Genomic DNA, 15884 nt, shown 5'->3' with positions numbered 1-15884 from the left:
TAGGGTTGGAAGAATCAAAGTTTATAAAATTATAAAAGATGTGAATATGATTAATATTTGTTTATCCAGATCTAGAATATTAGAACTAGAAGGCATCTCATTAAGTATAGAAGAATCATTAAATAAAATAATCAGGATCAATAAATAAAAATAGGTAATAAAACTTAGAGACAGCAAATGTAAATAGCATGGTGCCAATTATTTGGCCACAATGTTCATAATTATCGATTTTCTCAAATGAGAAAAAATGATATTTGTGGATTATAAAGTGAATAAATGCCATTTATATCACATAGATTATAGACTTGGAAAACACTTTTTATAAATATTGCATTAAAAAATGGCAATCTGGGCATGGTAGCATGTGCCTGTGGTCCCAGCTACTCTGGAGGTTGAGGTGGGAATGATTCCTTGAACCCAGGAGGTCAAGGCTGTGGAGAGCTATGATCATACCACTGCACTCCAGCCTGGGTGACAGAGTGAGAATCTGCATCCAAAAAAAAAAAAAAGCAAAAAGAAAGAAAGGAAGGAAGATGGAAGGAAGGAAGGAAAGAAAGAAAGAAAGAAATGTCAATCCTTGGAAATGAGAAGAAAACAATTTCTCCACGTGTCACTTTTTTTTTCTTCAAAGGTTTTCTATATCCTGAAGGAACTTAAATTTAAAAAGCTGCCATGATAGATACACTATTAAAAACCATATTCAGACCAAAGATGTGAGCTCCTATGTCTGACACCTTATGCATAAATCAATACTTACAGTCCTGTTAGTAAGATACATGCCTGGGATAATAGATATACAAAATGAAAGGCCTTAGATCAGAGCTTGCTTAGCAGGCCATTTAGGTTTATATCTTACTTTCTTCAAGGCATTTATTTACTTTAGGAGATGCTGGGCCACAGAGGTTTCATTGGAATGTGTAAGCCATTATTACTCAATGTAACTCACATTTGCCTTTCTAAGCATGATGCAATTGCTTCTTCCTTTCCTTCATTTCTAGCTGAAATTATGCAGCTTTAGCAATTGATCTTCAACAGAATCAATAAATTATTCCATCACAACCTCGGAGAACATGTAAATGCTCAAGGAACATTTCATACCTTAGAATAACTTACATTGCGGAGGTAAATTATTAGGTAAACATTTATTCCACTTATTACACACTCAAGTCTGTTCAAAAGATTGTGCTACATGTCTGAAGTGACTTTGACATTGAACTTAAAACAATGACTCTGGTTATTAGCTGATCAGTCTCATTTTATATCACATTCACAATTACTTGTTCAACCTTCAACTGCAGCTGCAATATCAGGCTATTCACAATTTTAATAGTACTACTTGTGACTCCAATCTACTTCACACAGTACTTTGAGATCTGTTTACAATGCAACTTGCACTTTAAAATTAGAATAATTGATAAAGTTCTCATGCCTCCATTTCCTTATCCGTAAGTAAAATTGCCCCCAAAATATACACAACCCAAAAAGCTGCAAATACTGGACTAGAGTATAAATTATAGAATTAAAAAGCTAAAAGAATAGAAATCCACAGAATTTGATTTTCTTAACTGGTAGTTCATGATGGCCTTGGGGATGGGTTGGTGGAAAAGTGATTTCATCCATCTGAATACATTTAGGAGTCATTCAAATGTTTTGTCTAGTAATTAAAAGAGGAAAGAACACCTCACATCTGCAAAAATTAGTTCAAACTACATAATTCTCTGTCTCTTATGTATTTTAAAGTGATAGTCCTACTGTATTAGTTCATTCTCAGATTGCTATAAAGAATTACCTAAGACTGTTTATGAAGAAGAGAAGTTTAATTGACTCACAATTCCACAGGCTTAACAGGAAGCATGACTGCGAGACCTCGGGAAACTTAGAATCATGGTGGAAGGCAAAGGGGAAACAAGCACCTTCTTCACATCGTAGTGAGAGAGAGAGAGAGAGAAAGAGAAAGTACCACATATTTTTAAACCATCAGATCTTGTGAGAACTCACTATCATGAGAACAGCATGGGGGAAATCCACCCCCATGATCTAATCACCTCCTACCTCTGGGTTCCTCCCCAAAACTGGGAGTTACAATTCAACATGAGATTTGCATAGGGACACAGAGCCAAGCCATATCACCTACATTAAATGCTCCAAATAAATTTCATTTGAATTTGATACAGAAGGATAATTTATTCTGATGATATTAAAGACTCAGAAAAAAAAAGTTTTTAATGCAACCACTCATTTTTAACATAAGATTTTTTTCTTGGCTGAGATGAAGGATACCAAGAAAATGCCATTTTCTTCCCCCTACTCTATCCGGGAGCTTTTTCTTTGGATTTTCACAAAAGAAAGACTTTTTAAAAATTATTTTTAAAATGAATCAGTGATGCCTTAATTTTATGTGTCATCATCTACATTTCATTTTCAACTTTTGCTGTTTTATCTTCTTCCTTGTTAGGCTCTTTGAATCTGGCTTTGTTGTTCCTGTTCCTGACATTTATGAATAAATAAAAACTATGGAACTCAACAAGTGAGACAATCCTAGAATAATAGATGCATAATGAAGAATCTCACAGAAGTTTCTTTCTAGTGGGCCACCTAACCCTTGCCTCACCCTCACCTAAGTATATAAGTAAAGATGAAGTTTTAGATGAAACCTCTGGTGTACAGAGATTTCATCTAGGAATGTTGCTACAGTGCAAACTGTCATTATCTAGATAAAATCACATATATTTTCCTCAAAATAATGATACTCTCACTTGCTTTCCTTCACAGCCCAGCTGAAACCATTTAGCCTTAGGACTTTGTCTTCAGTGGGACATATTGATTATACCATCATATCTCAAGAGACACACATCCACATACCCAAATCATTCCACATCTTAAAATAATTTTCACTGCAGAGAAACATCAATGAGTGTGCATTTGCTCCTCTTATCTGGTGTTTCACACTGAATTCTGTTCAGAAAATATTGATCAGCATGCTTGGATTTGGTTAAGAATATGAATAAATTTAATCAACGTATCAGCTGAAAATGCCATGAAAAAAATCCACACAAAATAGAAATCTACAGGTTAATTAAACACACTCAAAATACATTCATAAAATAAGAACATGGTGGGGGAACAGGGTAAAAGAAACAGATGAACTAAACTGACTTTTCTTGCAAATAGGTATATAACAGAGTGGACTCAAGGTTATCCTGCATAAAATGAATGTGGCAAAAGAGTCCTGCTAATGACTTTCCAATTGCTACACAATAGTTGTTTTCAAATAAAACCAACAAGCTAATTACAGGCATATTACCTGAGGCCACATATTAGGTTGGTGCAAAAGGGATTGCAGTGCTTGCCATTAGAAGTAATTAAAAGTAATGGCGAACACTGCAATTACCTGATAAATCTTGTTTTTCTTAGTGACATTTTTGTACACTCTTGCAACAACTTCTTTGAATGTGAATAGGTTGTATATATGCAAAAATATGTGACTATATAAATATAGAATATGTTATGATCATTGAAAAGCCTGGCTCAAAATACCTATGCCATATTTATTTATCCATGCTTTTATCTCTAAACCCCTTTATTAACATATCTGGCCTCTACCTCTACTATTTTCACAATATTTTTCATTTGTATATATTACTATTGATATGACACATGATACAACATGATTTTATCTGGATTCTTCTATTTATAGCTATTTTTAGCCTCTGTGGACAGCTCCATAGGGAGAATGAACTATTCGTCAACGTCACCCATATTTTACTGAAGATTTTGAAGGTATTCCAATGTGACTGACTACTACGTTTCCTCACATGTGTGCTGCTGTATCTGAGATCACCATGTTTTCAATTATCTCATATGAACCTGTAAGTAAGATAAATCTACTTTTAAAAACATTAGAGATATTGGAACAGTAAGGAAAATATTTTTAATTAAAATATCTGCTACTGGCAACTTTGTCATCTTCCAAATGTAAATATAGAACTTCCATAACCATAAAGTTTGTTGTAAAACTTCGTGATGATCCTTTCATCCAAGGGAGTAGCAAGGTCATGTTAAAATTACCTGGAGAGAGAAATAGAGGTGTGTTCACATTTTTTTTCTTTTTTTAAAATTTTTTTTTATTATACTTTAAGTTCTGGGGTACATGTGCTTAATGTGCAGTAAGGTGTGTTCACATTTTAAAACTATTAATAAGAACTCAAGAGGCCCTCCTGCCCCAAATAGACTCTCCTTAAAAACTGTATCTGATATAATTCCACTTATCTGGGAACAGAACCTAAACTATTTTTTCCCCAAGTAAATGCTGCTGTTTCTTATGTCTGCATCTTCCCACACACAACTCTCTGGAATACTCTTTATTTTCTCTCTCTCTGGTAAAGGCCTACTTTCATTTGAGATTCATATTCTCTGAGACATACTCCTTGAGAACATTCTAGGCTTATGAAAGTCCCCTCTCCCATCTCTGTGCTCCCATGACATTTTGCCCCTATGATATTTATCACCCATCACAAAATTGTTATTATTATTACTATTATTATTATTATATGAGACAGGATCTTGCTCTCTTGCCCAGCCTGGAGTGCAGTAGCATGATCATGGCTCACTGCAGACTTGACCTCCTGGGCTCAAGTGTTCTCCCACCTCAGCATCCTAAATGGCTGGGAGTACAGGCGTAGGCCACTACAGCTGACTAATTTCTGTATTTTTTGTAGAGACAGGGTCTCATTCTGTTGCCCAGGCTGCTCTCAAACTCCTAGGCTCAAGCAATCCACCCACCTTGTCCTCCAAAAGTGCTGGGATTATAGGTGTGAGACACCATACCTGACCTGTTTTTAAGTGTTAGATTCTCCTACTACACTAGGTATCTCTGAAGAGAAGAATTAAGCAAGAATAAAATCTTATTCTAAAATCGCTTATCACAGAGGTAGCAAGTTAATGTCAACATAGTCTAAATTCTGATTTGTAGGTATTTTTTTCACTTTTATGGTGTTTTACAAATATTGAAATTTTTGTATGAAGGTACAAATTTCTGGCTCCTCTTGAAAAATCTAAAATCTTACAACACTAGGCCTTCATTCCCACATGATAACATGAGGCTACAGTTGAATAATGGATGTCCATTTTGGACATGGTCCCTGTCTCCAGTTTGTCTCAGTTTTCATCATTCAATTTGTTCTATATCTTGCTTTACTTTCCTTGGTAATACTATATGCCTGCTATAGTATTTAATTGTGTTAGAGATTCCAGGCCTATTCAAAGTAATCTTTAAGGCTATTAGAAAATACATGAAATAATAGAACACAATGATAATAGCAGAAACTGACTTTCATAGCACATAGAGCATTGTGGAAGGCCAGGCCTGTTCCAGGTACAAAAGATGAAAATCTGGGTTGTAATGGGCACAAGCAGAAAGTGGTAGGAAGTTGTTAGACCCTCAAAGGAAGATGAGGATGACAGAATGCAGAATAGGAAATGTATAAAATTAATTTCACCTTCTTTACAGCTTTGCTTAAGGGCAGGATTAGTGATAAGATTTGAAACTGAATCTGCAAAGCTCACATTAAAACATTCAATGTTGTAAAAGGAAAGATTTGCAGAACAGTACCATATGATCTTCCTAGAAGGTCTTTTGTGAAAGATATTCTACTTCTCCCAGTATTTTGGCTTTTCTTCACCTCAGTTCATGTATTTCTGTACCTGATAATTTTTGAGTTATGAATTTGAATGATCTTTGTTGCTGAATTTTATTAGGCTCTGTATGTGCAAAATCCCCAGACGTGATGGTCTTATGGATAGTGGGTGCATGTGTGCGTATGTGTATATGAGTGTGTGTGTTGTAGGAAAATTGGAATTAAGAGAGAATAGGAAAAGAAGAGTGATAGGAAGGTATAGAAATGGTTAGATGATATATGGTTAATAGATTTAACCAGTTGTTAAATCTAAAAATATATATATTAAATATGTATTAAATATTGACTATTATGATCACTTTCTCTTATTGTTACCTTCATCCTGTAGATCAGGCAAACAGAACTGATTGTCTTGAAATCTTGAACTTTGAATGCTCAGACTGTTCATGTTCCTCCATGTAATGCTTTAAAAGAAGATTGGTAATAAGGAAAAGGTCTCTGCAATGATAACATAACAGTCACATATTCTAAGCAAGTAATAAAGATGACTATGATTACAGTAATAGAAAATGGTGGGAAGAGAAAATTGCAATACCCAAGAAAGAAGTAGGTTCCTGTCTGTGCCTCCTCAAAAATTTTACTCAATTTTAACAGATAACCAGTTATTACATATTTATCTTTTTTACCACTGTGGTAGGCATTTTGGGAGACATGGAGACAGAATCTCCTTTCTCAAATGGCTTATGTGTAGAAGTGAAATTATTGGTGTTAAGGATATATATCTGTTTAGGTTACAATTGTTAACTAACTCTACATCTATAGCATTACAGTACCATTTTCAAGGTAGAGTGCCCTGCATTTTGCTCCATGCATCAATCACTGTTGCCATCATATATCATTGGGAGATATCCTATCTGTTAGGACATTAGTATAGATTGGAAAGTAGAATGATAGTTACCAGGTGTTGGGGTGGTTGGCTGGGGGGCAGGGGAGAGATGCTGGTCAAAGGATACAAAATTTTAGCTAGGGAAAAGGGTTCAATTCAAGAGATCTATCATACCACATGGTGACCATAGCTAACAATAAATTATATTCTTGAAAAATGCTGAGAGTGGATATAAAATCTTTGCATCACAAAAGTCATAATTATGAGAGGTAATGCATGTTAATTAGCTATACTTAGTCTTTCCATAGTGTATACAGACTTCAAAACAACTTGTTGTTTCATTTGTCAATTTAAACAGTTTCATTTGTCAATTTAAAAATTCTAAAAAAAATAAGAAATTTTGGGCCAGGCACAGTGGCTCATGTCTGTGGGAGGCTGAGGCAGGCAGACTGCTTGAGCCCAGCAACTCAGGACTAGCCTGGGCAACATAATGATACCTTGTCTCTACAAAAAAAAAATACAAAACTTAGCACACGCCGGTAGTCCCAGCTACTCCAGAAGCTAAGCAGGAGACTCGCTTCATCCTGGGAAGTTATGGGTACAGTGAGCCATGATCCTGCCACGTGACAGAGGGATACCCTGTCTTAAATAAATAAATAAATAAATATAAAAAATAAAGATATTTTCCTTTTATTCATAATCTACATATTCCTTTTGTTCAAATCACAAATACATGTTGAATTTTTACCAGAAAAGGAAATTTCTAAATTATGACAAAAATTCATAGAGATGATAAATTAATCACACATCAGGAATTATATTGCTACATGATCCCTAGTTTGGGGGCTAATTGTTTAATCAGGGTGCTATGGTTTGGCTGTGTCCCCACCCATATCTCATCTTGAACTGTAATCTCCACGTGTCCAGGGAGGTACCTGGTGGGAGGTGATTGGATCGTGGGGGCCATTTCCCCCATGATGATTTAAAAGTGTCAGTTTCCCCTGTGCTCTCTCTCTCCTGCCATCTTTTGAAGATGTGCCTTGCTTCCCCTTCACCTCCATTGTAAGTTTCCTGAGGCCTCCCAGCCATGCGGAACTGTGAGTCAATTAAATCTTTCCTTTATACATTACCCAGTCATAGGTAGTATCTTTTTTTTTTTTTTTTTTTTTGAGACAGAATCTCGCTCTGTCACCAAGGCTGTAGTGCAGTGGCACGATCTTGGCTCACTGCAACCTCTGCCTTTAATTCCTAGGATTTAACCCTAGTTTGAGTCAAATGTAGAGTAAGAATGTCTAGCACCACCTATGGTAGCCCGTCATTGGGATAATTCATCCAACAACCAGGCATTTGGACAATAAAAAATGACTGAAAAATGCCCCTACACTTAAAGGACTCAGCCTCTGGAGGGAGGAGGGGGCGCATAATCACAATTCATTTTTTATTGTCCAAATGCCTGGTTGTTGGATGTTGTAATTCATGTTCATACAAAGTGATGGGATCAAGAAAAAGAGTTGGGGACTTATCCTGCTATGACACAGAAACTGATGAGTTCTTGAATGATCGCAAGAGTTCTCTAGCAGAAGAAATGTTTCTATTTTAGGAAAGATCATGTGCAATGTGCATAGACAAAGGAGGATGCAGTAATCATATTTGTTTTACAAATGAGAAACTGGAGGTAGAGCAGCTAAAATATGACATTGGAGACAGTAAGATGGATAAGGGGGTATTTCAAAAGTCTAGACAAAAGATTTTGATGGTTATTTTCCTATATTCTCTCTCAGTAATAAGGACATTATAATTCATCCAGCCTAACATGATAGCCATCTCAAATCAGTTCTGACTTCTACTTTTCTCATGAGTCTGACCTTTAATTCATCAAGTACTTTGTCCCGCCTCCTGAAGAAATTTCACTTCTAGCCTTTGACCTTCTTCATGTCCAATCCATTGACTAAATTCTAACCAGCATAGCCTTGCCAGCAAAGATTATTTATTTAAGAGTTAAGAGTGGCGGTTTGGGGATAGCACCAGGAGATATCAGCTGTGATGGCTTGGAGAAACAGTGTAAACTGGCAGTGTAAACAAGAGCAGGGCATGTATGAGTAGTTGAGAATGGTGAATAGGAGTATGACTAGACAGAAGATAGTAGGGATGACAAGTTTTTTGGGGCACAGTCCAAGTTGGTCTGGTGTCTAGAATGAGACTGGGGCCTAATAAAAAGGAGCGTCTATACAGGAGCTCAAATGGGCTGTACCTTGTCGCATTCCGAGGACAGGCCTGAATTCTGAGAAGGGAAAGTGGTAAAAGTATTGTCTACAAAATGCAATGATTCTGCTTATTATTGGAACACAAATGTAATTGTTTTTTATAATAACTCTTATAGCTTTCTTTTACAATATCTACATGAGAAAAGCTTATTTGCTAGAGCTGTCAACTAGAATGAAGTAGACAATCTTCTCTTGATGCAGTCCTCATTCAATTTCTAAACATAGATGTGTTCAGCTCCTCAGTCCATACTGACTGTTTAATCTTATTGAGCATTTATGTAATACTTCATTCTTCAACAATCTGAAGAGTTGAATAAGTACTAAAGCAGAGCAGCAAGGTTATAATGCAATCCCTTCTATTTAAAAACTGTAAGGATGTTTGAACAATCAAATGAAAAATAGTGAATTATGATGATATCTTAACAATGTGTTGAACAAATAACTCTAGTTCTATGTAACCACAGGGATAAAATATTGAAAGAAGAAAAACAAGACTGAAATGAACGAATGGCTTTTAGCTTTGCTGAATCCTAGTACTTACAAAGATTAGTCTGGTTTCCAGCCTTTGACTCCCTCATCTCCCTCACCTACCTCACCTATCCATTTCTATCAAGGATTACATTTTGATATTGGGCTCAAAACTAAAGCCTCAGCTTTATCTTTAATTCCTAGGATTTAACCCTAGTTAAACATGCTTGATAGGTACAAATTTGGTTTTGAGTATGCTTGGTTAAGATGCCTGAAAATAACCTGGTGCCTGACTAACAGGTGAAGATACTCAATAGGAAGCTGGAAATGTGAGTCTTAAATGAGTTGGGGGCTGAAGATAACATGTTGATACTCATTAGTATAATTATCCATGTCAAAATCCCAGACTTCATTACTTATAAGCAGAAAATAGCTTTATCCTTTCTTTTCACTGCCCCTTAAAACTCTCACAAAGAGCTATTTTCTAACCACTTGGATAACATCTTCAACAGATCCTTCTCTACATAATTCCTTATTATAAAAATAACTGTGGTCATTTTTTTTATTTTCAAGAAAAGAGGAGCTCTGAGGTTACATGAAAGCCAGGTTTTGAGAATTATCTAGACTCGTCATTGTATTCAGCTTTATGACTTTCCCACAGATATGTAATATTGAAAACAAAATACTTTTCTTATTAACTGTTGGCATAATTAAGGATAATGGTGGGCTGTGAAGTAGCTTGAGCTTTGTATTACTAGATATTTATTATAATGTACTGCTGTTTCCTTTTGTTTTTCTGTCTTGTCACATTCTAGGATCCTAGAAAAATGACTTAATATATAATTATATATTATATATATAATTATATATATAATATATATTTGTGAATATATAATTTGAAATCTATAGGCTTACCTATGCATGTTCTAAAACACATTCAAAAACTGCTCATCTAGAAAGTAGATTTGTATAGATATTTTTATTCCTAAATATTGCTGGTTCTCACTTTTGGTGTTCTTAGTGTCTCTTCTTTAAAATGCTTCAGCTACTCTTCACTTTCATTGCTTATAGTAGATTACTTAGGATTATATGAAAATAGTGAATTATATGAAATTATATTCTAACATTTATGAATAGTTTGGCTGTATTTTTTAATCTCGCTGTGAAGTTAAATAATGAACATCAAGTAAGGTCGAATAAATCAACAAATACAAATATTTTTACAAATAAGTATTGTTTTGGCTTGTTTTCTTTGAATTAAAAATGCTGTAGTTTTATGACATGCCAAGTCATAAGTGCTGTCCAGCCTGTGTGAGCTAGTTTTCCATGGGTGAAGTACCTGTGCTGGCTCCAAACAGCTATGCCAAGGTGGGTTTAGGGTGGCCTAGAACTTAACATGGCCACCTGGTTGCCTTTGCCATGAGGCACCTTCAATTATTAAGAAATGTTGGCTCAATGAATATTTTGATCGTTGTGCCTAGTACACCCTTATCCTCTCTCCTCTTTCTTGTATTTCTGTCCTTATCATCACTTCCCAGGCTCCCTGAACCCCTTCCCTGATCTCTTCATTGACTGCCTGTCTCTTGTTTCCTTCAGATATTCTTATAAAAAAAGTTGTTGCTTAGTAAAGTTAAAGAATGGTAAAATAGATTACTAAATTTTTTTTAGAGTCTTGAGTGTAGCTATACATTTTTATATGTTAGCAAAGTTTATTTCTGTATTTCATTCAGGTTTCTGTTCAGAAAAAATCCTTCCCTGGTGATCCTATTGTGGTAGACATAAAACTGTGCCACCCAGATCCCATTCCAGGGAAGAATATGCTGCTGAGCTGTTGGAAGTACAATCAGTGGAAAACCTTGGTCTGTCAGCAACTTCAAGGTTTGCCTCCTTTGCAGAAATGGTCCATTCAAAGTCATGCCCTTCCTATAGCAGTCTACATTCAACCACTGAGTGAGGCAGAAATAAAAAAGTGCTGATAATTTTCAACCTACAAGGGCATTAATGAGCAATACCTGCTCCAGAGCTCCACAGTGGGTTCTCAGAAGATGTGTCTTGCCTGCAGCACAGCTTGACTCCTTCCACTATTCATTTTTTCTTCTTTTCCTTTTACTTCAGAGGCATTAAAAATGAATAAAAATCTTGAACTCCAGACTCTGTCTCAGTACCTGCTTAGTATTTCACAGAACCTAGAGTGAGATACCTACCTGAAACTATTTCCTGTTACTTCACTTCCTCTTTGTCTAGTATACATGTTTTCATAGCAACTAAGGCAAGGCTGTGTATTTACTTGTTTTTTTTGTTGTTTTTTGTGTGGTTTTTTTTTTTGACGGAGTCTCGCTCTGTCGCTCACTGCAGCCTCTGCCTCCCAGGTTTAAGCAATTCTCCTGCCTCAGCCTCCCAAGTAGCTAGGACTACAGACGTACGCCACCACGCCCAGCTAACTTTTGTATTTTTAGTAGAGACGGGGTTTCACAATGTTGGGCAGGATGGTTTCGATCTCTTGACCTCATGATCTGCCTGCCTCGGCCTTCCAAAGTGCTGGGATTACAGGTGTGAGCCACTGCGCCCGGGCTTATTTGCTTTTTTGTTTGTTCATTTATTGCTCTTTGTGGGCAAGGACTCATCCCTGTTGTTCGTTGTTGTATTTGTATTCCAAGAACATAAATTACTGCCTGGCACATAAAGAGTGTTCCATAATTTCATGTGCGTCCGTGTGAAGAGACCACCAAACAGGCTTTGTGTGAGCAATAAAGCTGTTTATTTCACCTGGGTGCAGGCGGGCTGAGTCTGAAAAGAGAGTCAGTGAAGGGAGATAGAGGTGGGGCATTTTATAGGATTTGGGTAGGTAAAGGAAAAAGGATGGTTGTTCTGTGGTGGGCAGGAGTGGGGGTCACAAGGTGCTCAGTAGGGGAGCTTTTGAGCCAGGATGAGCCAGGAGAAGGAATTTCACAAGATAATGTCATCAGTTAAGGCAGGAACAGGCCATTTTCACTTCTTTTGTGGTGGAATGTCATCAGTTAAGGCAGGAACCAGCCATCTGGATGTGTACATGCAGGTCACAGGGGATATGATGGCTTAGCTTGGGCTCAGAGGCCTGACATTCCTGTCTTCTTATATTAATAAGAAAAATAAAATGAAATAGTGGTAAAGTGTTGGGGCAGTGAAAATTTTGGGGGGTGGTATGGAGAGATAATGGGTGATGTTTCTCAGGGCTGCTTCGAGCGGGATTAGGGGCAGTGTGGGAACCTGGAGTGGGAGAGATTAAGCTGAAGGTTTTGTGGCAAGGGGTGATATTGTGGGGTTGTTAGAAGAAACATTTGTCATTTAGAATTATTGGTGATGGCCTGGATACAGTTTTGTATGAATTGAAAACTAAATGGAATAAGAGAAGGAGAAAAACAGGTATTAAAGGACTAATAATTGGGAGGACCTAGGACATCTAATTAGAGAGTGCCTAAGGAGGTTCAGCATAGCCTTGCCCAGCAAAGATTATTTATTTAAGAGTTAAGAGTGGCGGTTTGGGGATAGCTCCAGGAGATATCAGCTGTGATGGCTTGGAGAAACAGTGTAAACTGGCAGTGTAAACAAGAGCAGGGCATGTATGAGTAGTTGAGAATGGTGAGCAGGAGTATGACTAGACAGAAGATAGTAGGGATGACGAGTTTTTTGGGGCACAGTCCAAGTTGGTCTGGTGTCTGGAATGAGACCGGGGCCTAATAAAAAGGAGCGTCTATACAGGAGCTCAAATGGGCTGTACCTTGTCGCATTCTGAGGACAGGCCTGAATTCTGAGAAGGGAAAGTGGTAAAAGTATTGTCCAGTCCTCTTTAAATTGGTGGCTGAGCTTGATGAGGTGTGTTTTTAAAAGACCATTAGTCTGTTCTACCTTTCCTGAAGACTGAGGACTGTAAGGGATATAAAGGTTTCACTGAATACTAAGAGCCTGAAAAAATGCTTGGCTGATTTGGCTAATAAAGGCTGGTCCATTATCAGACTATATAGAGGTGGGAAGGCCAAACCGAGGAATTATGTCTGACAGAAGGGAAGAAATGACCGCAGTGGACTTCTCAGACCTTGTGGGAAAGGCCTCTACCCATCCAGTGAAAGTGTCTACTTAGACTAAGAGATATTTTAGTTCTCTGACTCAGGGCATATGAGTAAAGTCAATTTGCCAGTCCTGGGCAGGGACAAATCCTCGAGCTTGATGTGTAGGAAAGGGAGGGGGCCTGAACAATCCCTGAGGGTTAGTAGAATAGCAGATGGAACAACTGAGACGTGATCTCCTTGAGGATAGATTTCCATGATGGAAAGGAAATGAGAGGTTCTAAGAGACGGGCTAGCAGCTTGTAACCTACATGGAAGAGGTTATGAAATGACGACAGAATAGAATGGGCCTGTGAGGCTGGAAGGAGATATTTTCCTTGGTCTTAGAACTATTTGCCTTGTGTGGGAAGAGATTGGTAGGTGGAAGTTTCAGCGGGGGAGTAGGTGGGAGTGACCAATGCGAAGGAGAAAAATTGGCTGTGAGGGACAGAAGTTGGGAAGCTAGCTGCTTGTCTAGCCACCTTATCAGCATAAGCGTTGCCTAGAGCAATGGGATCTGATGCCTTTTGATGGCCTTTGCAGTGAATGACTCCAGCTTCCTTTGGAAGTAAAGTGGCCTTGAGCAGAGTTTTTATTAAAGAGGCATTAATGACGGAGAACCTTTGCGTAGTGAGGAAACCTCTTTCAGCCTATATAACAGCATGGTGGTGCAGAATATGACAGGCATATTTAGAGTCACTATAAATATTGACGTGTAGTCCTTTTGCAAGAGTGAGGGCTTGAGTTAAGGCAACTAGTTTGGCTTGCTGAGAGGTAGTGGAGGGGGGCAGAGCGGTAGCCTTAATGATAGATGGGGAAGATACTATAGCATAGCCTGCCTTTGCTGGTGAGTGGTGATTAGGCCTGGCGGAGCTGCCATCAATAAACTAAATGTGATCAGGGTGAGGAACAGGAAAGAAGGAAATATGGGGAAATGGGATGAATGTCAGGTGGATCAGAGAGATACAGTCATGAGGGTCAGGTGTGGTATCCAGAATAATGTGGAAGGCCAGATTGAAGTCCGTGCCAGGAACAATGGTAATTGTGGGAGACTCAACAAAGAATGAGTATAGCTGAAGGAGCTGGGGAGCAGAAAGTATGTGCATCAGGTGGGAGGAAGAAAATAGATTTTGGAAGTTATGAGAAATGTAGAGAGTGAGTTGAGCATAGTTTATGATTTTTAGGGCCTTTAAAAGTATTAAAGCAGCGGCAGCTGATGCACACAGACATGAGGGCTAGGCTAAAACAGTAAGGTCAAGTTGTTTGGATAAAAAGGCTACAGGGTGTGGTCCTGGCTCTTGGGTAAGAATTCTGACCGCACTAACCATGCCTAGGAAGGAAAGGAGTTGTTGTTTTGTAGAAGGGATTGGGGTTTGGGAGATTAGCCGGACACGATCAGCAGGGAGAGCACATTGTTTTTATGAGAATTATGCCGAGATAGGTAACAGATGAGGAAGAAATTTGTGCTTGATGGAAATAATGGGGGCTGTCTGTGAAGCCTTGCGGCAGCACAGCCTAGGTAATTTGCTGAGCTTAATAGGTGTCAGGGTCAGTCCAAGTGAAAGCGAAGAGAGGCTGGGATAAAGGGTGCAAAGGAATAGTAAAGAAAGCATGTTTGAGATCTAGAACAGAATAATGGGTTGTGGAGGGAGGTATTGAGGATAGGAGAGTATACGGGTTTGGCACCACGGGGTGGATAGGCAAAACAATTTGGTTGATAAGGCGCAGATCCTGAACTAACCTCTAAGTCTTGTCTAGTTTTAGGACAGGTAAAATGCGGGAATTGTAAGGAGAGTTTATAGGTTTTAGAAGCCTATGCTGTAGCAGGTGAGTGATAACAGGCTTTAATCCTTTTAAAGCCTGCTGTAGGATGGGATATTGGCATTGAGTGGGGTAAGAGTGATTAGGTTTTAATAGGATGGTAAGGGGTGCATGATCGGTCGCTAAGGAGGGAGTAGAGGTGTCTTATACTTGTGGGTTAAGGTGGGGAGATACAAGGGGAGGATGTGAAGGAGGCTTTGAACTGGGGGAAAAGATGGCAATGAGGTGCGGCTGTAGCCTAGGAATAGTCAGGGAAGCAGATAATTTAGTTAAAGTGTCTCAGCCTAATAAGAGAACTGGGCAGGTGGGGATAACTAAAAAGGAGTGCTTAAAAGAGTACTGTCTTAGTTGGCACCAGAGTTGGGGAGTTTTAAGAGGTTTAGAAGCCTGGCTGTCAAAACCCACAACAGTTATGGAGGCAAGGGAAACAGGCCCTTGAAAAGAAGGTAATGTGGAGTGAGTAGCCTCCATATTGATTAAGAAGGGGACGGACTTACCCTCCACTGTGAGAGTTACTTAAAGCTTGGCGTCCGTGATGGTCTATGGGGCTTCCAAGGCGATCGGGCAGCATCAGTCTTCAGCCGCTAAGCTGAGAAGATCTGGGAAGGAGTCAGTCAGAGAGCCTTGGGCCAGAGTTCCAGGGGCTCTGGGAGTGGCTGCCAGGTGAGTTGAACAGTCCAGTTTTCAGTGGGGTCCTGCACAGATGGGACACGGCTTAGGAGGAATC

At 38.4% G+C, this 15884-nt stretch overlaps 1 long non-coding RNA gene across 1 annotated transcript in view; it reads left to right on the top strand.

Annotated features, from left to right (window-relative positions):
• The window catches only part of LINC01846 (long intergenic non-protein coding RNA 1846), a 75374-nt gene extending 63971 nt beyond the window's left edge, over window positions 1-11403 (top strand). The window contains exons 4-5 of the long non-coding RNA NR_146477.1: window positions 3698-3869; window positions 10985-11403. This is a non-coding gene — a long non-coding RNA (long intergenic non-protein coding RNA 1846). The remainder of the gene's footprint in view (window positions 1-3697; window positions 3870-10984) is intronic.
• Window positions 11404-15884: the final 4481 nt, after the last annotated feature.

Source organism: Homo sapiens, chromosome 5, assembly GCF_000001405.40.
Source record: "Homo sapiens chromosome 5, GRCh38.p14 Primary Assembly".
NCBI classification, from domain to species: domain Eukaryota; kingdom Metazoa; phylum Chordata; class Mammalia; order Primates; family Hominidae; genus Homo; species Homo sapiens.
The sequence above is the reverse complement of the archived record's forward strand: the minus strand, read 5'-3'. Positions and strand labels throughout refer to the sequence as shown.